This window comes from Homo sapiens, chromosome 12 (assembly GCF_000001405.40).
Source record: "Homo sapiens chromosome 12, GRCh38.p14 Primary Assembly".
NCBI classification, from domain to species: Eukaryota; Metazoa; Chordata; class Mammalia; order Primates; family Hominidae; genus Homo; species Homo sapiens.
Window position 1 is genome coordinate 120978543 of NC_000012.12, and position 26388 is coordinate 121004930.

Sequence of the window (26388 nt, forward strand, 5' to 3'; positions counted from 1 at the left end):
AGCTCCAATGTAAACAGAACAGGCAGGGGCCCTGATTCACGGGCCGCTGGGGCCAGGGTTGGGGGTTGGGGGTGCCCACAGGGCTTGGCTAGTGGGGTTTTGGGGGGGCAGTGGGTGCAAGGAGTTTGGTTTGTGTCTGCCGGCCGGCAGGCAAACGCAACCCACGCGGTGGGGGAGGCGGCTAGCGTGGTGGACCCGGGCCGCGTGGCCCTGTGGCAGCCGAGCCATGGTTTCTAAACTGAGCCAGCTGCAGACGGAGCTCCTGGCGGCCCTGCTCGAGTCAGGGCTGAGCAAAGAGGCACTGATCCAGGCACTGGGTGAGCCGGGGCCCTACCTCCTGGCTGGAGAAGGCCCCCTGGACAAGGGGGAGTCCTGCGGCGGCGGTCGAGGGGAGCTGGCTGAGCTGCCCAATGGGCTGGGGGAGACTCGGGGCTCCGAGGACGAGACGGACGACGATGGGGAAGACTTCACGCCACCCATCCTCAAAGAGCTGGAGAACCTCAGCCCTGAGGAGGCGGCCCACCAGAAAGCCGTGGTGGAGACCCTTCTGCAGTAAGGAGCCCTGCCCCGTCCCCGCTCCCAGGAGAGCCTAGAGGGGCCCCCCTCAGCTCCTAACGAGCCCCCCTTCTGAGTTGAGTCCCCATGACCTTCAGCCTTTAGCCTAGTTGCTGGGAAGGGGGACAGGGCCCATGAGAGCCCAGGGGTCCTTGCTTGGAGGTTTGAGCCTCCAGCCCCTGAACTGCTCCTCTGCAGAGTCCCAAATCCCATGAGCCCAGGCCTTTAGCCCAGTCCTTGGGCAAGGGGGACATTTCCCAGGGGGGTCCAAGATGGGAGAAAAAGCAGGTGAGTTCACAACTCAAATGCCTGGAGAACTGGGAGGTGGTGGAAATTTTTAGCCACTCTGATCATTTATACTCTCCAGACCCTAACTCCTGCACTGAGTCCTCAGTGGGTAGGCTCCGGGGCCCAGGAAGCACTGCCAGGGAGGAGGGCCCGAAGCTGGGGTTTGGGGGCTTTCCTGGCCTCCTAGGGACTCATGCGTTTAGCCAGGGAAGCCCAGGTCTTTCTTACCTGAGGCAGACAGAGCCTCGAGGTGGGAGCTGCTCCCCTTTCCTGTATGGCCACAGGCACCCCACCTCACCAGCAGGCGCCATTAGAGGCTGCCCGTTCTACATCCCCATCCGCTGGCGGACTCCCCGTCTCCTGGAGAACTGGGTGGGTCCTGAGCTCGATGCCTCCCCTCTCCTCAGCAGAGCTGACCTAGTTACTAATTACCCATGTGCTTTATTATTTCTCTTTTGTTTTATAAATTTATAAATGGCAAAAGGCTCTGATAAGGTCTGTGATCATTAACTTGTAGGAATGGTGGCCTGGAAAGATCTGGGCCAACCCACCTCCCACCTAGTGGGGGTGGGGGATGGGGGTGTGGGGGAGAAGGAAGGATGGCCTGGGGGCTACAGGGGCCACCCCTCCCCAGCGGCTCCCTGACCTCCACCCTACAGCGCCTGCTTGAGGAGGTTCACTACTTCCTGGGCGCTGTGCTGAGGTTTCACAGGAATAATTTCCCTTCATGGTGAGGAGTCCTGGGCAGAAGCTATTGGTGACTCTGCTTCACAAATGGGGAAACTGGGGCTTAGAGCCGGGAAGGAGCTAGACTAAGTTCACCAAACTGAGGCCCCAAACCTACTCTGTTCGGTGCTCTCAATTGCTATGACCGGGGACCAGAGGCCTGCAGGGGGTGGCCAGGGAGTCAGAGAGAGACCGAGCCCCAAAGATGCTCCAAAGGGGCCCATCTCTTTTCTGTCCAAGGTCCTGATCCCAGCTGGGGTGGGGGAGGGCTGGTGGATTCCTGCTTTCCCAGAGGCCTCAGGGAGCCTCCCGAGGGCCTGGACAGGGGGCAGGGGAGCAGTCAGGGCCCCCTGACTTGGCAGGAAGAGGAGGGCAAAGGACTCCAGAGCTGCAGGGGAGGGGCAAAGAGTCAGGCATCCCAGACCCAGGGCGAAGGCAACCTGACGGGGTGGGGCTGGGCCTGACCTGCCCAGGGCCCCAGATGGGACTGGGGGCTTTGGGGTGAGGGTGGGGGCAGGGGATGCTTTCTTACCTGGCTGAGTGAGCTCTCTCGGTCAGCAGCCCCCTTTGGTGGGATGGTGGGGTTGGGGAGGCTTGATCCACAGCATTTGAAGGGGAAGCAGAGGTCAAAGTGCTTCCTAGGGACCAGCAGAGACCTGGAAGCTGAGGCAGAGAGTGTAGAGAGAGGCCATTGGGGGAGATGGACAGAGAAGCTGGGAGAAGCAGAACGGAGGAGCCAGGGGGGCGGGGGCTCAGACCCAGCTGGGAGAAGGGGCACGGGAGAGAATGAGGCGCCCCAAGCTTGCAAGGAGGCTGGAGTGCTTCCCGCCTGCCCCGATTGGGTTTTCTTTAATGCTAACAGCATGCTATTTACTTTCCATTTAAATTTGAGATGTTGCTATAAATTATCAACCAGCTCCTTGTTCCTGCAGAGTTTATAACTAACTACCTGGGTTACTTATTGTTCAGGTAACAAAAGGGATCGGAAAACGCCCTGAGTGAAAAAAGTGGGGCCTCCAGCGTCAGGGTCAGGAAAGGAGCCAGGGAGAGAGGGGCGGGGGACCCCTATTGAAGGCCTGGGCCATTGGGGAGGTTGAGGCTGGGAAGACGGTACAGAGGCAGAATGTCTAGTAGAAGCTGTTTCCCGGGAGAAGTCAGTGTCTGGGAAGAAGCCGGGGTGGGTCCTGGGTCCCAGGCCTCCCTGGGGTGCCCCATGTTGGTGGCCACAGCAGGAACCTGAGCTCTTTCTTCAGATCTCCCCCTTAGCTCCCTGAGTGACCTTGGGAAAGTCTGTTCCTCTCCTTCTGCCTCAGTTTCCCTCCCTGGCCAAGGAATAAAGTCCAAACTCCCTGCCTTGGTTTCGTTCCCCTCCCTCCACCCCACCAAATTCCTGGATCTCTTCCCAGGTCTTTCTCTTCCTCTCGGCCTTTGCTGCAGTCATTTTGGCTTTGCTGTTCCTCAGTACCCCAAGCCAATTCCCACCCCAGGGCCTTTGCACGTGCTCTTCCTGCTGCTCAGAACCTCTTTCCAGATCTTCCCATGGCCGATTCCTTCTCCTTCAGCTCCCTGATTGCTCCATCCAAAAGGGGGCCCCACCCCCGTCACTCTCTTCCACTACTGTTGTTCACTTTCTCTGGTTCCCTGTCAAGACTTGTGATCATCTGATTTGTTTGTTTTCTATCTCCTGCCATGAAAATAGAAGCTCTTCAAGGACAAGGCCCGTGTTGCCTTATTTACCACTTGTACCCACATCCTGCCCAGTGGCTGATGCACAGCAGGAATGAGTGAGTGACTGGGATTGTCTGAGGCCCTGAAGATATCTGCTGCCCTGTTGGTCAGGGCCCAGCAGCCTGAGACGTGGCCAAGGGAGAAACTGGGACCCAGAGTTCCTTCCTGGGTGTCCTCCCGGGTCCTTTCTGTCCCTGATCAGCTCAAACCCCAGCGTGTTTCTTTTTTGTTGTTGTTGTTGTTATTTTTGAGACGGAGTCTCACTCTGTCGGCCCGGCTGGAGTGCATGGCGCGATCTCGGCTCACTGCAAGCTCTGCCTCCTGGGTTCACGCCATTCTCCTGCCTCAGCCTCCCGAGTAGCTGGGATTACAGGCATGCACCACCACGCCTGGCTGATTTTTTGTATTTTAGTAGAGATGGGGTTTCACTATGTTGGCCAGGCTGGTCTCAAACTCCTGACCTCAGGTGATCCGCCCGCCTCGGCCTCCCAAAGTGCTGGGATTACAGGCACTCAGAGCCACTGCCCTCAGCCTTCAAACCCCAATCTTGAAGTATTCTGATCCTGCCCATCAGGCAGCATCAGGGCACTGAGACTCAGGAAAACAGTAGCCACGGCAGGAGGGGGGGGGGACAGAGGATCTGACGTCCCCAACAAAAGCCAGACTGCCTGCATCCTAATCCTAGCTCTGCCCCTTTCTAGCTTGAGCAGGTGATTTTATACTTCTGAGCCTCAGTTTCGTCTGCAGGGTAGAGATGACAATAGCCCTTGTCCACAGGGTTAAATGGCATGGCACTTGTAGAGTAAACATGTAGTAACTGCAATATACAGCAGTTATTATTAGTGATCCCATTTTACAGATGAGCAAATTAAGGCTGAGAGAGGCAGTGCCTTACCGAACGAAACTCTTCCAAATGACTGAAGGCAAGCCAGGACTTGGACCTGGGTCCTCCTACCTCACGCTCCATACAGCAACCTCGAGGTCACACTTTCCCCTCCCCAGTCATTCCTGCTGTTTAAGTTGACCATCAACTCACTTCCATACAGTGCTTTGGAGTTCACAAAGGGCTTACAAAATGCGCTAAGCTCATTTTTTCCTCCTCCCCATCTCTGAAGTCTGAAATATCATTAGCCCCATTTCACAGATGCGGAAACTGAGGCACACGGAGGTTAAGCAAAGAATCAAGGCCAGGTCTAAAGCCCCCACACTGAGAAGTCAGCTCCCCTCCAGATGTGGAGATGAATACCACAACCTTGCATGCCCTGAAACCCCAGGGGCCAGAGGGCAAGAGGCTCAAAGCCTTGGACATCCGATTGACCCTGGAAAGGGTAGGAGAGAGAGGAGGAAGATGTGGGCGGGTCTTCACTTCTCCTGGGCTCTGCTGTGTGGGGCCAAGGGTCTCCAGGGCTGCATTGTTAAGATGATGATGATGACAATATTATTCCACAAATTCAGCACTTACTGTGCACCAGGCATTGCCCTAAGTTCATCCTCCCTATTTGAAGCTCATTTAATTTTCCCAGTAGCAGTGTGAGGTAGGGGTGGATTTACCCCACGTTACAGGGCAGATGTGGGTCATGCAAGAGCACGCGTGGCTAGGTCACAGTGGTGGGATTTGAACCCACATTGGTTTGACTCTCAAACCCATTAGAGTCAAAGCAGGAGATGCCTGGAGACTTGTCCTCTTAGTTCTTTCCTTTTTCTTTCTTTCTTTTTTTTTTTTTGAGATGGAGTCTCACTCTGTTGCTGGGGGTGGAGTGCAGTGGCGCAGTCTTGGCTCATTGCAACCTCCGCCTCCCGGGTTCAAGTGATCCTCCTGCCTCAGCCTCCTGAGTAGCTGGGACCACAGGCATACGACACCACACCCAGCTAATTTTTGTATTTTTAGTAGAGACAGGGTTTCACTGTGTTGGCCAGGGTGGTCTCTAACTCCTGACCTCATGTGATCCACCCGCCTCGGCCTCCCAAAGTGTGGGGATTACAGGCATGAGCCACCACGCCCAGCCTTGGCCTCTTAGTTCTGAGCTAGGACAGTTGGAGAATCTGCCCTCAAAAATAGTCAGGCCCTTGAAGACTCTGTGTGTGTGTGTGTGTGTGTGTGTGTGTGTGTTTGTGTAAGAGACACACAGAGAGACAGAAGAGAGAGAGTGATAGCAAGGGAGTGGGGGGTAGGGAGAGAGAGACATCGATTCAGTAGGTTCTAGAAAAAAGTGGCACAGGTGGCTTCTCCCAGAAAAGGGAAAGACATGCCCTCTTGGTTCTCTGACTCCTAACTGGCATTTAAAATTCACTTTTTTGTTGTGGATTTTTTGCCCAACTCTACTAGGAATTGTTTAAAAGTGGAACGTTCGTATCAGCTCACTTTAACAGTTTGCTTTCCATTTTCACATTCAAAAGCCTGTCTTCGGTTTCTAAGGGTTGCACATGTATTTGTGCAGGGTGGCTGGCCTTTGTTTTATTTTCAAGTTCAGCTTAAATTTGACCTGGCATGAGAGAATGAGAATGAGAGAGAGAGAGAGAGAAAGAAACAGACAGACATGGAATCAGATGGACAGGGGCACATAGAAAATCTTTGGTTTGAGCCCAGGAGAGGCTCTCAAGAGGTGAGAGGAAGACTGACCCTATTCTCTTTGTGGGAGAGAGAAGGGAAGGAGGGAGGAAGGGAGGACACAGGAGGACATGGCACAGGAGGGTGATGGCTGCAGATGGGGGAGGGGAGGCATCAGGCAGCCTGGCTCTAGGATCAGATAAACATGTTTGCCACAGAGCACCAGGCTGGACTTTGTACTGCCCTTCCTTCTGAGCTCTGACTGGCACTCAGCAAAGCAGGGAGATGAAGGAGAGAGGATCCTAGGAGCCCCGGAAAGAAGGGAGAGAGAGAAGCTGGGGAGAGGCCTGCGGGGGTGGGGTGGTCCTGGCAACATGAAATATTTTTGAGTCCCAACTAGATCACCTTGCACAAGTGACTGCACCTTTCTGAGCCTCAGTTTTCTCCTCTGCAAAATGGGCACACCGTCTACTTCCTAGGGTTATAAGATGTAAGTGGCCAGTCCTCAGCACGGTGCCTGGCTCACAGTAAATCCTCAAGAAACATGAGTTCTCAGACTTTTTTTTTTTTTTTTTTGAGACAGGATTTCACTCTGTCGCCAAGGCTGGAGTGCAGTGGCGCGATCACAGCTCATTGCAGCCCCGACCTCTCGGGCTCAAGAGATCCTCTTGTCTCAGCCTTCTAAGTAGCTGGGACTACAGGCTTGTGCCACCACACTTAGCTAATTTTTCTATTTTTTGTAGAAACAGGGTCCCACTATGTTGTCCAGGCTGGTCTCAAACTCCTGGGCCCAAGGAATCCTCCCACCTTAGCCTCCTGAGGAGCTGGGACTACAGGTGTGCACCACCATGCCTGGCTAATTTATTTTTTTTTTTATAGAGACAGAGTCTCACTATGTTGTCCAGGCTGGTCTTGAACTGCAGGGCTCAAGTGATCCTCCCACCTCGGCCTTTCAAAGAGCTGGGATTACCACCATGAGCCACCATACCCAGTTTACAATTCAGTTTTAAATATTATATATGCCAAGGTGGGAGGATCGCTTGAGCCCAGGAGTTTGAGACCAGCCTGGCCAACATAGCAAGACCCTGTCTCTATGAAAAAAAAAAAATAGAAAAAAGAAGAAAAAGTACAAAAATTAGCTGGGCATGTTGGCATGTGCCTGTGGTCCCAAGTACTTGGGAGTCCGAGGTGGGAGAACCAATTGAGCCCAGGAGTTTGAGGCTACAGTGAGCTATGATCACGCCACTGTGCTCCAGCCTGGGAGACAGAGCAAGTAGCCTCTAAAAAGAAAAATAAATAAATAAAAATAAATATTGGCTGGGCACGGTGGCTCACACCTGTAATCCCAGCACTTTGGGAGGCCAAGGCAGATGGATCACCTGAAGTCGGGAGTTTGAGACCAGCCTGGCCAACATGGTGAAACCCTGTCTCTACTAAAAATATAAAAATTAGCTGGGTGTGGTAGCGCACACCTGTAATCCCAGCTACTCGGGAGGCTGAGGCAGGAGAATCGCTTGAACCTGGGAATCAGAGGTTGCAGTGAGCTGAGCTCGCGCCACTGCACTCCAGCCTGGCCACAGAGCAAGGCTTTGTCTCAAAAAAAAAAACTAAATAAAAATAAATATCATGTATGCATATATAGTATATATTATGTAATTTACAAAGTACACAAGGACAACAGAGAAAACTGTCCTTCTCACTCCCATCCCCAGCACCCCGTTCTCCTCTGGAAGGAACCAGAGTCCCCAGTTCCTTGCGTGCCCTCCGGTATTTTACACGTGCACAAATATGTAGAAATCCTCTTTTACCTCACTTCAAATTATTCATAAGTAGCAGCACAGCAGACACACCAGATAAACTCTGCTCCACCTGGGCACACAGAGCTTCCTCAGCGGGGTTTTTTCAGTGGTTGCATTGAACAGATGCACCTCCATTTAGTTAATCAGTATCCTTTTGCTGGGCTCCTTGGTGGCTTCCAATCTTTTGCTATGGCAAGCAACGTGGCAAGGAATTGCCTTCTACTTGTGCCATTTGTCACCTGTGCCAATATTAAAAGCCACAAATTCTAGAAGCGAATTGCTCAGCGAGGCAGGGGAAAGCACAGGCTTTGGAATCACGCAGACCCAAGTTCAAATCCCAGTCTGCCTGTTTCAGTGCTGCTGTATTGAGCTGTATTTATCTGTAACTTTTTGTTTGTTTGTTTGTTTTTTGAGACGGAGTCTCACTCTGTTGCCCAGGCTGGAATGCAGTGGCGCGATCTCGGCTCACTGCAACCTCTGCCTCCCGGGTTCAAGCAATCCTCCTGCCTCAGCCTCCCGAGTAGCCGGGATTACAGGCACCTGCCACAATATCTGACTTATTTTTTATTTTTATTATTTTTTTCGTAGAGATGGTTTTCTCCATGTTGGCCAGGCTGGTCTTGAACTCCTAACCTCAAAAGACCCGCCCACCTTGGCCTCCCAAAGTGCTGGGATTACAGGTGTGAGTCACTGCACCCAGCCTATCTGTGACATATTGGTAATATAAGTTCAGGAGAGGGAGAGAGAAAGAGGCAGGGATTGAGACAGAGCAGGAGAGGAGGAGAGAAAATTTATATGGCTCAGGCAGTCTGATCCCTTCTGTTCCCCCACAGGGAGACCCACAGCAGAGACATGACTCACAGGTGGCATCAGGTCCCTTTGAGTCTCTCTGGTGGGAGAATCTCAACCCACAGAGTAGGATTCCAGTGTTCACATGCATTTTTGGTACTATGAGGCCTCTGAATGTCAACCCTGTCACCTGAGACTCTGTTGAAAAACCAGCCGCGGCCGGGCGCGGTGGCTCACGCCAGTAATCCCAGCACTTTGGGAGGCCGAGGCAGGCAGATCACAAGATCAGGAGATCGAGACCATCCTGGCTAACACGGTGAAACCCCGTCTCTACTAAAAATACAAAAAAATTAGCCGGGCGTGGTGGCGGGTGCCTGTAGGCCCAGCTACTTGGGAGGCTGAGGCAGGAGAACGGCATGAACCCAGGAGGTGGAACTTGCAGTGAGCCGAGATCGCGCCACTGCACTCGAGCCTGGGTGACAGAGTGAGACTCCATCTCAAAAAAAAAAAAAAAAAAGAAAAAGAAAAGAAAAACCAGCCTCCTGTTCTGGTGCTGCAGGGAAACAGGCCTGGCCACAGCCAAGGGTGCAGATTTTCAGGAAGCATTTTTAAAAATATATATATATATATATACACATATATATATATACAGAGAGAGAGAAGCCACTGAGGCCCACAGAATTTGCATCATTTTATTCCTTGTCCAAGGTCACAGGACAAGCAGAGTCCCACCCACCTGAAAGGATTCAGTTCTAAGACAGCCTTTAGGGCAAAAAGTCACAAAGTTGATCTATCTATCTATCTATCTATCTATCTATCTATCTATCTATCTATCTACGTGTTTGCACCCTAATCACTGGCAGTAAATGCACTTTTTTTCTTTTCTTTTCTTTTTTTTGAGACAGGGTCTTGTTCTGTCACCCAGGCTGGAGTAGGTGTAAAATTGGAGAATCCATATTTCTTTCCTTGTTTTCAGATTTAATGCTTTCCTTTTTCCAGCAGGTCTCCTTCGTCCATCCATCCATCATCCATCTACCCACCCACCCACCAATCCATCCATCCATTCATCCAACCATCCATCCATCCATCATCCATCCACCCACCCACCCACCAATCCATCCATCCATTCATCCAACCATCCATCCATCCATCATCCATCCACCCACCCACCCACCAATCCATCCATCCATTCATCCAACCATCCATCCATCCATCATCCATCTACCCACCCACCCACCAATCCATCCATCCATTCATCCAACCATCCATCCATCCATCATCCATCCACCCACCCACCCACCAATCCATCCATCCATTCATCCAACCATCCATCCATCCATCATCCATCCACCCATCTATCTGTCCATCCACTCTACCCTACCATCCATCCACCAGTCCATCCATCTATCCACCAATTCATCCATCCATCCACCCATTCGCCCATCCATCCATCCACCCACCCATCCATCCATCCGTCCATCCACCCATTCATCCATTCATCCATTCACCCATCCATCCATCCACATATCTTCATCTGTGTTGTGTGTCTGTGTATCCATGTTTCTAAACCTTTATCTGTTCCAGTGTCTGTATCCATAGGCCTGTGTCCACGTTTGTCATGTGTGTGCGTCTACAAGTCTCTGTCCTCATGACCATGTGTCTGTGTCCCTGTGTCCTGGCATAAATGACCATACCTCACCGTCCCTGAGTCTATGTGTAGGCCCCTGGGCTCCATAACTGCTTTCATGCACAGTCCCCACCCTCAGGGTTGACAAGGTTCCAGCACCCAGGACCGCAGCCCCACCTATGGGGAGAGACAGCCCTTGCTGAGCAGATCCCGTCCTTGCCCTCTCCCAGGGAGGACCCGTGGCGTGTGGCGAAGATGGTCAAGTCCTACCTGCAGCAGCACAACATCCCACAGCGGGAGGTGGTCGATACCACTGGCCTCAACCAGTCCCACCTGTCCCAACACCTCAACAAGGGCACTCCCATGAAGACGCAGAAGCGGGCCGCCCTGTACACCTGGTACGTCCGCAAGCAGCGAGAGGTGGCGCAGCGTAAGTAATGACCCTACCCCGCATCTTCCCTGGGAGGGCCCAGGACTCTCCCCTAACTCATAGGTGGGGGCTGGAAGCTTCACCATCCCCATTACACAGACAGGTAGATGGAAAGGAAGTCAGTGGGATTCAACCTGCATTTATTACCTATTCTGCGCCAGGCACTCTGTGGGACGGGAGTAGACTTGGTCCTGAACATCCAAAGATGAATGAAATGGGTCCCTGCTTTCTTTTTCTTTTTTTAGATAGAGTTTTGCTCTTATTGCCCAGGCTGGAGTTCAGTGGTGCGACCTCAGCTCACTGTGACCTCCTCCTCCCAGGTTCAAGCAATTCTCCTGCCTCAGCCTCCGGAATAGCTGGGATCACAGGTGCCCACCACCATGCCTGGCTAATTTTTTGTAGTTTTAGTAGAGACGGGGGTTTCACCATGTTGGCCAGGCTGGTCTCGAACTCCTGACCTCAGGTGATCCACCCACCTCAGCCTCCCAAAGTGCTGGGATTACAGGCGTGAGCCACCATACCCGGCCTGGGTCCCTGCTTTCTCAGAGCCCATGGTTAAGTGGGAAAGTGGGAGAAAAGCTCATTATGATCCAGCGAGTCATGTATTAGAATGGGACAACAGCAGCCACAACAACAACAATAATGGCCACTATTTATCATGCATTTTTGGGGTGCCTGGTCCAGTGCAGAGTATTACACAAAGCATTTCAGGGTGCTGAGCTGACTGTCGACTGGGGAGTAACCTGTTCTTCCTCAGGAAGGCAGAGGTATCAGGAAGCCTCACATTGCAAATATGACCTTTAGAATATGACCTTTAGACTAGGTCTTAAAGTGGGAGTTGAATTTTGACCCATGGAGACGCAGGGAAGGGTGTTTCAGGCAGAAGGAACAGCATCAGTAAAGGCTCAGAGGCAAGGTCTACGGTCAGGAAATCCTCCACTGCAAACTCAGGAAGCTCTGGGAGCCCTATTACTCAGGGAATGGTGGGTTTTCTTCTCCAGGCCTCATACCCCACCAAATCCCAAGGGCACTGTCACCTTCCAACCTCCATCTATGTGTGACATTTTTTGACATTTCTTTTATTAATTATCCAGGTTAATTTTTTTTTATTATTTTTTTATTTTTTTGAGACAGAGTCTCACTCTGTTGCCCAGGCTGGAGTGCAGTGGCGTGATCTCGGCTCACTGCAAGCTCCGCCTTCCGGGTTCATGCCATTCTCCTGCCTCAGCCTCCCGAGTAGCTGGGACTACAGGTGCCCGCCACCACGCCCAGCTAATTTTTTGTATTTTTAGTAGAGTCGGGGTTTCACCATGGTCTCGATCTCCTGACCTCGTGATCCGCCCGCCTTGGCCTCCCAAAGCGCTGGGATTATAGGCGTGAGCCACCGCGCCTGGCCTTAATTATCCAGGTTTTTAAAAAAGGAAATAGCCAGGCATGGTGGTGTGCCATAATCTCAGCTACTGAGGAGGCTGAGGTGGGAGGACTGTTTGAGCCCCCAGGGGTTCGGCTCCAACCTGGACAACATGGCAAGGTTCCTCCTCTAAAAAAGAAAGAAAGGAAAGATGATAGGAAAGGGAGGAAAGATAGGAAAGGGAGGAAAGATAGGAAAGGGAGGAAAGGTAGGAAAGGGAGGAAAGGTAGGAAAGGGAGGAAGGAAGGAAGGAAGGAAAAGAAAAGAAAGAAAAAGAACGAGAGAAAGAAAGAAAGGCAATACACATTTGGTTAAAAAAAAAGAAGAAAAACAGAGTTTATAAGAAAAATTAGATGCCTTTACCCTAAAGCAGCCACTGGAATTCCCAGACTCTTGTGTATCCTTCCAGAGAGATTTTCTGCATATAGTAGCAATAGATATGTTATTTTCTTGCTCTTTTTCTGATTAATGGGAACATACTAGACACACTATTTTACATGTTGTGTTTTGTCTCTTGGCAATAAATCCTGTATATCTTTTCATATTGGCACTGAGAGATTGATGGATCTCATTCTTTATAAGGGCTGCTGGCTGTTATTTGTTTAACTGGCCACCTACTGAAGGACTTTTAGGGATTTTGCAATCTGCGAATACAACCAACTGCAGCAAAAAACATCCTTCTTTATATAAGTGCATGTTCACATGTGACTGTGTCTGTAGGATAAATTCCTAGAAGTGGACTGCTGGAACACAGAGTAGCTGCTTTAAAATCTTGGGTACATATTGGCATAGTTCCTTCCAAAGAAGTTATATCAATGTACACTTCCACCAGCAGTAAAAATCACTGTTGAAAAAAAAAATGTATGCAGGCCGGGCGCAGTGGCTCATGCCTGTAATCCCAGCACTTTGGGAGGCCAAGGCAGGTGGCTCACTTGAGGGCAGGAGTCTGAGACCAGCCTGGTCAACATGGTGAAACCCCATCTTAACTAAAAATACAAAAATTAGCTGGACATAGTGGCGCATGCCTGTAATCCCAGCTACTTGGGAGGCCAAGGCAAGGGAATCGCTTGAACCCAGGAGGCAGAGGTTGCAGTGAGCCAAGATCACGCCACTGCACTCCAGCCTGGGTGACAGAGGGAGACTCTGTCAAATAAATGTATGTATGTATGTATGTATGTATGTATGATGTATGTATGTATGCATGCATGCATGCATGCAATAGACAACTCTAGTCCTTACTCTATAGCTACCCCTCATCCCAATTATTGGGGTGTTCACACTCTACTGTGCTGTAATACACACTTGGAAAAACAGTACATTTTAATACTATTTTAATTTGTATGAGAAGAAACAAAGATTTATTCTGAAAATCTGTTAGAACTAGATTTAGTTTCTGAGAGAAATAGTGTTCTCCTAAAACCATCACTAGACGAAATTTTACAATATTCGATAAAATGCATTAAAAAATTTCTAACAGTTAGAAATGTCATCAAGGACTTCAGCCTAGAGCTGAGAATAGAGATGCAAACTGTGGCCCAAATAGCTTTCCCTGGGGGATTTTTAACTTTTAAGGAGAAATTGGAGAATTTGAGATGCAGAGTCAATATATGACTGTAGTATTAGGACTCTTTCAGTAACAGGGGACAGAACCCCAACTCAAATGGATTTAAACAGAAAAGGGAATGAATTGACTGAAGCAATGTGAGGAGTCCAGGGCTGCTTCAGGCATGGCTAGATCAAGGGGCTCAAATGAGGTTCACACAGCATTTCTTGACTCTTTTCTTTTTTGTTGGCTTCATTCTCAGACAGGCTCTCCTCATATAGGCAAAGATGGGTTCTGGAAGCCCTGGGCTGCCATCCTACCAGCTTAGCAACCTTGGAAGGAAAAGAGCTCTTCTTTTCAGCTACTTTCAGTTGAATGACTCTTTTTATACTTGATAATGTAAACTTTTATTTATTTTATTTTTTGAGATGAGGTCTTGCCATGTTGCCCAGGCTAGTTTTGAACTTCCGGGCTCAAGTGATCCCTGCCTCAGCCTCTTAAGTAGCTGGAATGGCAGGCACACATCACTGTGTCTGCTATAACAGAAACTTTTAAATGAAGTCTAACATAAAAAGTGCCCAAATCCAAAGCATACAGTTCAATGAATTTTCACAAAGTGAACACACCAATACAGATAAAAAATAGAATATTACCAGCTCCCAGCCTGGTGTGGTTGTACCCACCTGTAATCCCAGCACATTTGGGAGGCAAAAGTGGGAGGATCACTTGAGCCTAAGAGTTCAAGACCAGCCTGGGCAACAGAAGGAGACCCCATCTCTCCAAAAAATACGAATAAATGAGCCAGGTGTGGTGCAGCAGGTGTGTAGTCCTAGCCACTTATGCCCGCTGCTGTTTCTTGGCACTGAGATGGTGAGGGCCCTGCTGCTGCTGCTGCGCCCCTGATTCAGAATCTACCTTCCTCTCTTCTCATAAAGTGCTGTCCTAGCACTTGTGTGTCCCAGTCCTTTGGTGGCCTGCTCAGGGATAAGCTGGTAGACCAGTTTCCAGTAAAGTGGTACCAGCTGATGAAGGCTGGCTGGGTCTCTTCCTCTAGCTAACATTTGCATTTTAAGCCTGATTTTCAAGTCTGGAAAGCTGAATATAATTCTGAATACACTGAGGACATATGGCTCAAATTTTTGCTCTACTGCGTGACTCTGGAAAAATATGTAAGCTCTCTGAGCCTCAGCTTCCTCATCTGTACAATGGGGATAGTAAATGTGCCAAATCAGAACAAATGCTAATGCTTACCTGCAGTCTTGTACTGAGAAGGATGGTGAGATCATATCTTGGGTTGGTAGGAAAGCATTCAGGGATTGATTAGTGATGTTTGCCTTGAACACAGGTTAAGAAAGTGATGGCATGTGTGCTGTGTGTTTGTCATCAGTAGATTAGATGATTTCTAAGTTCTAGCTGTAAGCTCCTCTGGTTCAGCGCCATGGCAATGAGAAAGAATCAAGGGCAAGGTCAGGGGAATGGACGTGGGAAGGTGAGAGTGGCCAGTACCCCACTCACGGCTTTCTGTGCCTGCAGAGTTCACCCATGCAGGGCAGGGAGGGCTGATTGAAGAGCCCACAGGTGATGAGCTACCAACCAAGAAGGGGCGGAGGAACCGTTTCAAGTGGGGCCCAGCATCCCAGCAGATCCTGTTCCAGGCCTATGAGAGGCAGAAGAACCCTAGCAAGGAGGAGCGAGAGACGCTAGTGGAGGAGTGCAATAGGTACAACGGCGGGCGGGAAACAGTGCTGGTTTGGTCTGGGCTGCGGCAAGGCCAGGGAAGGGGAAGGTGACTCTAGGTCCTGTAAAAGGCTGTCCAGTTGCCGAGAACTCCTGATATTGGCTTAGCCTGGCCCAGAAAATTGAGAATACTTGAACCTAAGCCCATTCCTCGCAGCCCCCCTGCACCCTGGACACCAAGCAACCCCTTCCATGGATGCTCACCCAATTCGATTCTCTCTACAATCCTATGGCTCTTTTGCTCACTTTATGAATGGAGAGACTGAGGTCAGACAGACTGTCAATTGCCCAAGGTCACACAGCAGACCTGGCATTGGAACCCAGATCTGCCAGCCTCAAACCCTCCGGCAGAGCTCAGCTTCTCAGAACCCTCCCCTTCATGCCCAGGACAGGGTTCCTCTGAGCCTGGCCTGGAGGCTCATGGGTGGCTATTTCTGCAGGGCGGAATGCATCCAGAGAGGGGTGTCCCCATCACAGGCACAGGGGCTGGGCTCCAACCTCGTCACGGAGGTGCGTGTCTACAACTGGTTTGCCAACCGGCGCAAAGAAGAAGCCTTCCGGCACAAGCTGGCCATGGACACGTACAGCGGGCCCCCCCCAGGGCCAGGCCCGGGACCTGCGCTGCCCGCTCACAGCTCCCCTGGCCTGCCTCCACCTGCCCTCTCCCCCAGTAAGGTCCACGGTAAGTGGTATGTGGGGACAAGGGACACGTGGGAAGGTGGGAGGGTTGGGGAGGACTGTCCCAGTGACAGCAGTCACCTAAACCTCTTTGCACTTCAGTTTGGTTCCATTCCATTCATGCCACTCCTTATCACTCTACTTCACTCTGTTCATTCATCCATTCCACTCTATCTCATTCCATTCACTCTACTCCTTTCCACTCTATTCACTCCATCCACCACAATTAACCCCATTCCATCCACTCCATCCACTACCTTCGACTCCACTCCATCCACTCTACTCCATTCACTCCACTCAACTCCACTCCATCCACTCCACTCCGTCCAACTTCATCCCATCCACTACATTCAACTCCACTCCATCCACTCTACTCCATCTACTACCTTCAACTCTACCCCATCCATCCACTCCACTCCATCCATTCCATCCAACTTCATCCCATCTACTACATTCAACTCTACTCCATCCACTCCACTCCATCCATTGCATCCAACTTCATCCCATCTACTACATTCAACTCCACTCCATCCACTCCACTCCATCCATTCCCTCCAACTTCATCCCATCCAGTACATTCAACTCCACTCCATCCACTGTACTCCATCTACTACATTCAACTCTACTCCATCCACTCCCCTCCATCCATTCCATCCAACTTCATCCCATCTACTACATTCAACTCCACTCCATTCATTCCACTCCATCCATTCCATCCAACTTCATCCCATCCACTACATTCAACTCCACTCCATCCACTCCATACCTGGCTCCATCCACTCCACTCCATCTACTACATTCAACTCTACTCCATCCACTCCATACTCTATTCCATCCACTTACTCCATCCACTCCATTCAGCTCCACTCCATCCACTCCACTCACTCAACTCCATCTACTCCACTCCCTCTACTTCATTCAACTCTGCTCCATCCACTCCACTCCACCCATTCCATCCACTGCACTCCAACCAGCTCCATTAGACTCCACTCCATCCACTCTACCCACTCTTCTCTCCACTCCTCTCCACTACATACCATTTTATTCTATCTGTCCCATCCACTCAACTCCATTCACTCCACATGACTCCACATTTCATCCATTCCACTCTACTTCATCCACTCACTCCACTCTATACCATTCCACTCCACTCTATTCACATACTCCACCATTCCAGTCTACTCCATTCACTCCACTCCAACCCACTCACTCCACTCCATACCATTCCACTCCACTGTGTTCACACAACTCCATCCATTCCACTCTAGCCACTCCATTCATTCCACTCCACGCCACACTATTCCTCACCATTCCATCCACTCCACCCTATACCATTCCACTCCACTCTATTCCTCCCCACCCGTCCTCTCCACCCTTTACCACTCCACTCGACTGTACCCATTCCACTTGATCCCACTCATTCCACTCAATTCCATCTACTCTACTCCACACCATCCACTCCACTTCATATCATTCCACTCAACTCAACCTAAGTTGATTTGGGTTAATTCAATTCAATTCATTCATTTCAGATTGTATCAATTCAATTCATTTCAATTCAACTAAATTCAGTTAAATTCAGTTCAGTTGTCTTCTACTGAGCACCTACTGCATGTCAGGTATAGCACTAGGCAGTGGGAGGAATGGAGCTAATAAATGCAGTCCCAGCCTTCAAGGAACTGGGAGCAGCTGACCCAGGGCTTGGCAAAAGGTAGAAACAAAGGCAGATTTGCTGGCTGCATAAAGGCAGACAGGCAGCTGGCCTAAGCAAACCAATGGAGTTTGAAGTGCTGAGGGCTGTGGAGGCAGGGGAGGGCAGGGAAGTGGGGTGCTGAGGCAGGACACTGCTTCCCTCTCCAGGTGTGCGCTATGGACAGCCTGCGACCAGTGAGACTGCAGAAGTACCCTCAAGCAGCGGCGGTCCCTTAGTGACAGTGTCTACACCCCTCCACCAAGTGTCCCCCACGGGCCTGGAGCCCAGCCACAGCCTGCTGAGTACAGAAGCCAAGCTGGTGAGTGTCCTTGCTTGTAAGGAAAACCCAACCTCATCTTTCCTTGGCAGGGAGATTCTGGAGCAGTCCCTAGGGAGGCCCTGTGGGGACCCCGGCCCCCCGGACACAGCTTGGCTTCCCCTCGTAGGTCTCAGCAGCTGGGGGCCCCCTCCCCCCTGTCAGCACCCTGACAGCACTGCACAGCTTGGAGCAGACATCCCCAGGCCTCAACCAGCAGCCCCAGAACCTCATCATGGCCTCACTTCCTGGGGTCATGACCATCGGGCCTGGTGAGCCTGCCTCCCTGGGTCCTACGTTCACCAACACAGGTGCCTCCACCCTGGTCATCGGTAAGCTGGTGGGGATGGGTGGGCACCTGGGTGGGAGGCTCATGGGGCAACCGCAGAATCCAGGAGCTGGAAGAGCCACTGGGACTCATTCATTCATTCATACAACATGTATTTATCCAGTGCCTACTCTGGACCAGTCACTGTGCTACATCAGTGATACCTGGGTGAACCAAACAGACCAAAATCTCAGCAACTCAAGCAGGGAGGCAGGCACTAAGCATAATACATCAATTCTGTGGTACCTCAGAAGGTGAAGGGTCTATGGGCAAATTACAGCAGGGTAAGGGGGACTGATGTTTTCTAAGTTTTTGTTTTATGAAGAAAAATTAAGCCCAGAAAGCCCTTATTTGCAGGTACAATTATGCAGAAGCCCAGTACATAAGATAGATAAGGAGCTGCTAGGAGAGGGGAGCAGAGAACTGACCCCATGGCCTTTGCACTGCTGTGGAACCCCAGGGCTCCAGGGAACCGCAGTTTGACAACTTTTGAACAAGTCACCGCCTGCCTCTCCCACTAGCCTAGACAAAGAGCTAAAGGCTCAGAGAGGGGGAATGACTTGCCAGAGCCACTTAAATTAGTGGCAGGTCCCAGTGGAGGGCTGTTTCCTGACCACCCTGCCCCCTCCTCCAAACCACGGGCTCTGGGAAGGAGAGGTGGTGCCCTTGGGAGGTCTTGGGCAGGGGTGGGATATAACTGGGGGGCCCAGCTGATTCCCTCCCCTTCCACTCCAGGCCTGGCCTCCACGCAGGCACAGAGTGTGCCGGTCATCAACAGCATGGGCAGCAGCCTGACCACCCTGCAGCCCGTCCAGTTCTCCCAGCCGCTGCACCCCTCCTACCAGCAGCCGCTCATGCCACCTGTGCAGAGCCATGTGACCCAGAGCCCCTTCATGGCCACCATGGCTCAGCTGCAGAGCCCCCACGGTGAGCGCCCTGTGCCCCACACAGCAGGAGATGATGATAGAGGTTGGCTGTCAATGGATGCAGGGGAAAGGGGTGCCTGGCAGGCATTGCAGTCTGCATGTGTCTCTGGGACAAGTGTGTTTCCGTGATTGAGGGTGTCTGCAGGCCAGTGTGTTCCCATGTGAATGCACGTATCTGTGTGTGTGCACGACTGCTTGTGTGAGCAGATCCCTAGTGCGTGTCTGGGTGTGTATCGGTTGTGCATGCATTTGTGTGCATGCCTGTGTTTCTCTGAAACTCTTAGGGCCATATGAATTTCTAAAATCTATTCAGATTTTAGAAAGGTAATCTGGGGCCAGGCGTGGTGGCTCATGCCTGTAATCCCAGCACTTTGGAAGGCCGAGGTGGGCAGATCACTTGAGGTCAGGAGTTCAAGACCAGCCTGGCCAACACGGTGAAACCCCGTCTCTACTAAAAGTACAAAAATTAGCCAGGCGTGGAGGCACGTGCCTGTAGTCCCAGCTACTTGGGAGGCTGAGGCAGAATCGCTTGAACCTGGGAGGCGGAGGTTGCAGTGAGCTGAGATTGTGCCACTGCACTGCACTCCAGCCTGGGCAACAGAGTGAGTACTCTGCCAAAAAAAAAAAAAAGAAAAAGAAAAGTAATTTGGTGGATATGCCAGCTATCACATAACACTCCCAGCAGGGTTTGAGACAGCCCCCTGTGATCAAAGCACTGCTATTTCTGCAGCCAAAGATAGGATTTCCACAAGGCAGTTTAAACACTCATAACCTCATACCAGGTTCAGGCTGGGTTTCGCCACCAAATGAGCTCTAGTGCCAATCTTAAGGAAATCTTTTGGTTTCAGACCTTTTTGGAATTTGGGACTGGGTTAAGAGATTTGGGGCCTGTGTATGTCTGTGTGTACATGGTTGAGAGTGTATGCGTGTGTGTGTGTTACATTTTTATCTGAGTCACTGTGAGAATATGTGGTTTATGTGCGTTTTCCTAGTGTCTGTGTGTCTCTTGTAGGGTCTATGTGTCTCCTGAGGGGTGGGTGGAGGTGCTGTAGGCAAAACATGGGGTTATATTTGGAAAGGTGGCCTGGAGATGGAAGTACTGCTGTCCTCTGCCTTGCTCTTTGACAGGGGCCACCTGAACTTACTACACAGCACCTGAGTTTAGTACAGTAGCACCTGTGCTTAGTACATAGCACCTGTGTTTAGTATAGTAGCACCTGTGCTTAGTACATAGCGCCTGCATTTAGTACAGTAGCACCTGCGCTTAGTACGTAGCACCCGTGCTTAGTACAGTAGCCCTGCACCTGCACCTCCCGTTCCCTTTCATACCTGCTGTCTCCAGGTGACAAGAGGAGCTGGAGTTGGTTTCTGGCCTCCTCCAGGCTCCCCTGCATCAAGCGCAGCTGAGCAGTTCCCTGTAATGGGGAGAGGGTCTGTCCCTTTATCTGGAGCCTCCAGTTTTGAAAATCAGCCCTGGATCTCCAACTGCTGCCCAGTCTGGCTGTTCAGCAGGCCCCATGCCCCCCTTTCCCCAGTCTTGAGGCCTGGGACTAGGGCTGTCAGGCACGTCTGCCACGTCTGCCCCTCTCTCCCCTGCGGCCAGCCCTCTACAGCCACAAGCCCGAGGTGGCCCAGTACACCCACACGGGCCTGCTCCCGCAGACTATGCTCATCACCGACACCACCAACCTGAGCGCCCTGGCCAGCCTCACGCCCACCAAGCAGGTAAGGTCCAGGCCTGCTGGCCCTCCCTTGGCCTGTGACAGAGCCCCTCACCCCCACATCCCCCGGGCTCAGGAGGCTGCTCTGCTCCCCCAGGTCTTCACCTCAGACACTGAGGCCTCCAGTGAGTCCGGGCTTCACACGCCGGCATCTCAGGCCACCACCCTCCACGTCCCCAGCCAGGACCCTGCCAGCATCCAGCACCTGCAGCCGGCCCACCGGCTCAGCGCCAGCCCCACAGGTGAGAGGCCCTGGCTCCACCCCCTCCCTTACTGTCCCTGCCCCCTTCCATGTTGGTCCCACCCCTTCTGTTGCTGTCCGTCACTGTGGGGCTGTGCATGCAGCAGGCCTAGGGCTGCTGTGAGGAAGCACTGGCAGGCGTGGAGGGGTGGGGTGGGCTTCCATGAAGCCCAAGAGGCACAGGCGACCCCAGGAAGATGGGGCCCACCTTACAAGAACATCTCAGGGACTGGACTGAGGAAAATGATGAAGTAATTGTTAGAGGCAGTGGAGAGTAACGATAAGGACCAGGTCTGTGAGCCAGAAGCGACTCTTGCATGTGTTTGGTTTGGCTTGGCTCAGGGTTGAACATTCTTTGAATTTGTTGCCAACATTTCAAAATCAGGAATTTTCACATAGAAATCCAGATTTCTGGCATCTTTTGGAAAATTGGAAAAATTCATATTCCCATATAACAGTGCACCAGGCCTCACTGCATCCACTCACATCGGCTCCAATGACCCCTGGCGGTGGGGCGGTCACCTGAGTTTGTAATCTATGATGCCATTGTCAGGAGTGGGCACTTTGGAGTCAGGTGGGTGGGCTTTGCAGCCTGCCTTTTTGCAAGCTGCCCCCTTTCTATAAGGTTCCTGGACCCGGCCCTGGCAGCTGTCATGACAGCCACTGAGGCCATTCTGTGTCCTGGCATTCACCCCATGAGGCGTGTCCATGACCACCCCCATTTTACAGATGAGAAAGTGGACACTCAAGGAGGGGAGGGACTTGCCTCATCTCCCACAGCTACCAGATGGCAGGGCCAGGACTCGAACCCAGGTCCCACCTCAAAGCCCATTCTCTTAACCATTGCCATCAGTCAGGGTTCTCCAGGAACACAGAACCAACAGATTTATTTGAAGGACTTGGCCCGTGTCTGCGGGGGGCTGGCAGGCCTGAAATCTGTTGCTGGCAGCTCTGGGGAGTGAATTCTGCAGCCTTGAGGCAGAATTCCTTCTCTGGGAAACCGGTTTTTGCTCTTACGGCCTTCCACTGATGTAGGAGGCCCACCCATATTTTCAGGGTAATCTCCTTCACTCAAAGCCAACTGATTGTGGCATTAACCACATCTACAAAGCACCTGCATTCACAGCAGCGCCTAGATTAGTGTTTGACTCAGCCTAGCCAAGCCAACACGTACAACTACCTACCTCGGCATCTCACCGGGGCTTCTCCAGTGTTCACACTAAGATGTACTCAGGCCACTCCATGGGCGGCCGTGGACCCTGGCTGGGAGGCTCCCTTTGAAGAACCGAGGGTAGAGGTGTGACTTTGGGGTTCCTGTTATCTGCTGTGATCCAGGAGGTGTGGCCCTGCCTCCCCATCCTGAGTACCCCTAGGGACAGGCAGGTGGGGTGGGTGTGGGTGCCTGGTGGGTGGCTAGCAGCCTTGTTTGCCTCTGCAGTGTCCTCCAGCAGCCTGGTGCTGTACCAGAGCTCAGACTCCAGCAATGGCCAGAGCCACCTGCTGCCATCCAACCACAGCGTCATCGAGACCTTCATCTCCACCCAGATGGCCTCTTCCTCCCAGTAACCACGGCACCTGGGCCCTGGGGCCTGTACTGCCTGCTTGGGGGGTGATGAGGGCAGCAGCCAGCCCTGCCTGGAGGACCTGAGCCTGCCGAGCAACCGTGGCCCTTCCTGGACAGCTGTGCCTCGCTCCCCACTCTGCTCTGATGCATCAGAAAGGGAGGGCTCTGAGGCGCCCCAACCCGTGGAGGCTGCTCGGGGTGCACAGGAGGGGGTCGTGGAGAGCTAGGAGCAAAGCCTGTTCATGGCAGATGTAGGAGGGACTGTCGCTGCTTCGTGGGATACAGTCTTCTTACTTGGAACTGAAGGGGGCGGCCTATGACTTGGGCACCCCCAGCCTGGGCCTATGGAGAGCCCTGGGACCGCTACACCACTCTGGCAGCCACACTTCTCAGGACACAGGCCTGTGTAGCTGTGACCTGCTGAGCTCTGAGAGGCCCTGGATCAGCGTGGCCTTGTTCTGTCACCAATGTACCCACCGGGCCACTCCTTCCTGCCCCAACTCCTTCCAGCTAGTGACCCACATGCCATTTGTACTGACCCCATCACCTACTCACACAGGCATTTCCTGGGTGGCTACTCTGTGCCAGAGCCTGGGGCTCTAACGCCTGAGCCCAGGGAGGCCGAAGCTAACAGGGAAGGCAGGCAGGGCTCTCCTGGCTTCCCATCCCCAGCGATTCCCTCTCCCAGGCCCCATGACCTCCAGCTTTCCTGTATTTGTTCCCAAGAGCATCATGCCTCTGAGGCCAGCCTGGCCTCCTGCCTCTACTGGGAAGGCTACTTCGGGGCTGGGAAGTCGTCCTTACTCCTGTGGGAGCCTCGCAACCCGTGCCAAGTCCAGGTCCTGGTGGGGCAGCTCCTCTGTCTCGAGCGCCCTGCAGACCCTGCCCTTGTTTGGGGCAGGAGTAGCTGAGCTCACAAGGCAGCAAGGCCCGAGCAGCTGAGCAGGGCCGGGGAACTGGCCAAGCTGAGGTGCCCAGGAGAAGAAAGAGGTGACCCCAGGGCACAGGAGCTACCTGTGTGGACAGGACTAACACTCAGAAGCCTGGGGGCCTGGCTGGCTGAGGGCAGTTCGCAGCCACCCTGAGGAGTCTGAGGTCCTGAGCACTGCCAGGAGGGACAAAGGAGCCTGTGAACCCAGGACAAGCATGGTCCCACATCCCTGGGCCTGCTGCTGAGAACCTGGCCTTCAGTGTACCGCGTCTACCCTGGGATTCAGGAAAAGGCCTGGGGTGACCCGGCACCCCCTGCAGCTTGTAGCCAGCCGGGGCGAGTGGCACGTTTATTTAACTTTTAGTAAAGTCAAGGAGAAATGCGGTGGAAACTTCTTGCTTGTCCACAAATCATTCAGATGGGGTTTGGGCAGGTAGCGGGAGGCTGGGGCAGGCCAGAGGCCTGCGAAGAGGAGACAGGCTCCAGCACCCACGCTCTCACACCCCACATCTCTGCTTTTCTTGCTCTGCTGAGACTCTAATGACAAAGCCAGATTTCATCTTAACCTCAAGCTTCTACTTTTTAAAAAAATTTTGTTTTGGAGACAGGGTCTCACTGTCACCCAGGCTGGACTGCAGTGGCATTATACAGCTCACTGCAGCCTTGAACTCCTGGACTAAAGGGATCCTCCCACCTCAGCCTCACAAGCAGCCTCACAGGCGCTCACTACCATGCCCAACTAATTTTTGTATTCTTTTTTTTATAGAGACGAGGTTTCACCATGTTGCCTAGGCTGGTCTGGAACTCGGCTCAAGTGATCCACCTGCCTCGGCCTCCCAAAGTGCTGGGATTACAGGTGTGAGCCACCATCCCTGGCCATGAGCTTCTACTTCTTTTCTTTTTCTTTTTCTTTTTTTTTTTTTGAGATAGGGTCTTGCTCCATTGCTTAGGCTAGAGTGCAGTGGCGCAATCTCGGCTCACTGCAACCTGCACCTCCTGGGTTCAAGCGATTCTCCCACCTCAGCCTCCTGAGTAGCTGGGATTACGGGCGTGTGTCAACATGCTCAGCTAATTTTTGTATTTTTAGTAGAGATGGGGTCTCGCCATGTTGGCCAGGCTGGTCTCAAACTCCTGGCCTCAATTGATCCACCTCCTTGGCCTCTCAAAATGCTTGGATTACAGGCATGAGCCACTGCACCCGGCCACAAGCTTCTACTTCTTGCAGAATGCCTTTGTCCCATGAAACCTAGTCCACGAGTGCTATGACACTTCCTGAAGTCTTGGGTGGGGTGAACGCACAAATCCTGGGGGTGTAGAGAGGAGGAGGATGTTTACTTAAAATGTCTTAAGGTTCAGCATTGACAGAGAGGCAATATCCAAATCACTCTAAGTTTTGTTTTGGGTCCTCTGACAATTGAGTTTCCATAATCTGGTCGGCTCAGAGACACCATCATGTGTGGTATATTCACAAATGCAGACAAAGAAAATTCTAGAAAGCCAGGGGTGAAAAAGCTCTCCTTTCTCAGACGATTCTGTGAAGTCTATGTGGGCTAAGGAGAGAAGAACAAAAGTTTCTCTGGGCCTTGGCCTCTTGGGGATCCCTTCTCTCATTTTCTAAAAACTGTTTCTCACACCAGGCTAAGGAGGTGGTGGGGAAGGTCTCCCTTCCCCTGCCCACCTCAGACAGTTCTAGGGAGATGGAGGTTTCACCACTTGGCCACTAGTCTCAAATAACTGGAAGGTTCCTTTTTTCCTGAGGTCATGAAATGTTCTGGAACCACAGCGCCCCCGCCAGCCCTCCGTGGGAGCACAGAGGGGCAGGCCTTGATTGGTCTTCTCACCCTACAGCCACTTTTTTGGCCCAACTCTCGAGCAAGCCTTCATCACCATCAGGGTCTCATGGGCAGTCTGGGTTTGCCAGCCCAGTCCTTGAACTTGGAGAGGGAGGTGGGGCTTGGAAATGCCTTGTCCCCAGGGTGGGGGGGACACCTTGTCCTTGGAGCTGGCTGAGCCCTGTGCCCATGGCTGGGTTCAGTTTGCAGGTATAGCTGTAGCACTCTTTGCTGGTGGGAATGGAGAGGTCTCGCTGGCCTTCTTTGCCTTTTTCTTCTTTTTGGTCCCAAGCGACACCTGGTCCCCGTTGAGCTCACCTGACTTCTGCTTCTGGACTGTGGCCATGCTGGTGGGGGTGGTGGCAGCGACAGCCGAGTCGACACTGGCCACCTTCTTGGCTTTCTTTTTCAACTTCCTTTTCTTCTTTGCCTCCTTCTCCACTGTTCCAGGGCTGTGGATGGCTGACTCCTGTAGGATGTCGGACGCCGACACAGCTGCCTCCCGGCACCGCCGCCACTCCTCGTCACTGTCCTCACTGCTGCAACGAGAGGGTACCCTGGGTTAGCTGGAGTCAGGACACAGCCCCAGAGCTGCCTCTCGCTGTCCTCCCTTGGTCCAGGTCACCAGAAGGTGGCCGCAGAGAGAGGCAGGTAGTGAGTTCAGGCTTGGGAGTGAGGCCAACCTGGCTTCCAATACTGGCTTCTGGGCGTAGCAGCCTTGTGACCTCCTTAAGTGACTTAACCTCTCTGACTGTATCATCTCTAAAACGGGGATCTTAACAGAGTCCAGGCCTCCCAGGGATGTCCCAGGAGGCAACTATGATCAAGTGAGGTGTCTGGCCCAAGACAGGTGCTCAAAAGCAGTAAACATCCAAAGCTGCCGCCAAGAGGGCTTTCCCTCCCGCTGAGCTCATGATTTCTCCAGCTGCCTGACAGGGCCACTGCCTTGGCCTGGTCCTGACTGGAGTCTGCTTGGC

The 26388-nt window shown here is 52.2% G+C and overlaps 2 protein-coding genes across 14 annotated transcripts in view; one reads left to right on the top strand and one right to left on the bottom strand.

Moving 5' to 3' along the window:
• On the top strand, positions 1 to 23970 carry HNF1A (HNF1 homeobox A). Of its 4 annotated transcripts, none has more exons than NM_001306179.2 (10): positions 1 to 552; positions 10291 to 10490; positions 14978 to 15164; positions 15622 to 15863; positions 17720 to 17871; positions 17999 to 18200; positions 18932 to 19123; positions 20726 to 20847; positions 20920 to 21085; positions 22523 to 23970. In NM_001306179.2, the coding sequence occupies exons 1-10, from the start codon at positions 227 to 229 to the stop codon at positions 22648 to 22650; spliced, it is 1917 nt and encodes a 638-aa protein (NP_001293108.2). In that variant the 5' UTR covers positions 1 to 226; the 3' UTR covers positions 22651 to 23970. The 4 variants fall into 4 exon arrangements, with proteins under 4 accessions (NP_001293108.2, NP_000536.6, XP_024304936.1 ...); NM_000545.8 differs by having other exon boundaries at positions 20941 to 21085; XM_024449168.2 differs by having other exon boundaries at positions 20726 to 21085.
• Positions 21944 to 26388, bottom strand: part of C12orf43 (chromosome 12 open reading frame 43) — a 16002-nt gene continuing 11557 nt past the window's right edge. For 6 of the 10 annotated variants that reach the window (NR_104409.2, NM_001286197.2, NM_001286195.2 and 3 more), the window contains one exon: positions 23880 to 25950. Coding sequence is in view for 9 of the 10 variants with exons in the window: in NM_001286197.2 (NP_001273126.1) it covers positions 25611 to 25950 (340 nt within the window). In the remaining variant the exon portion in view is untranslated. Of the gene's footprint in view, positions 25951 to 26388 lie in introns of all 10 variants that reach the window. The other 4 variants (NM_001286196.2, NM_022895.3, NM_001286191.2 and 1 more) reach the window with 1 other exon arrangement.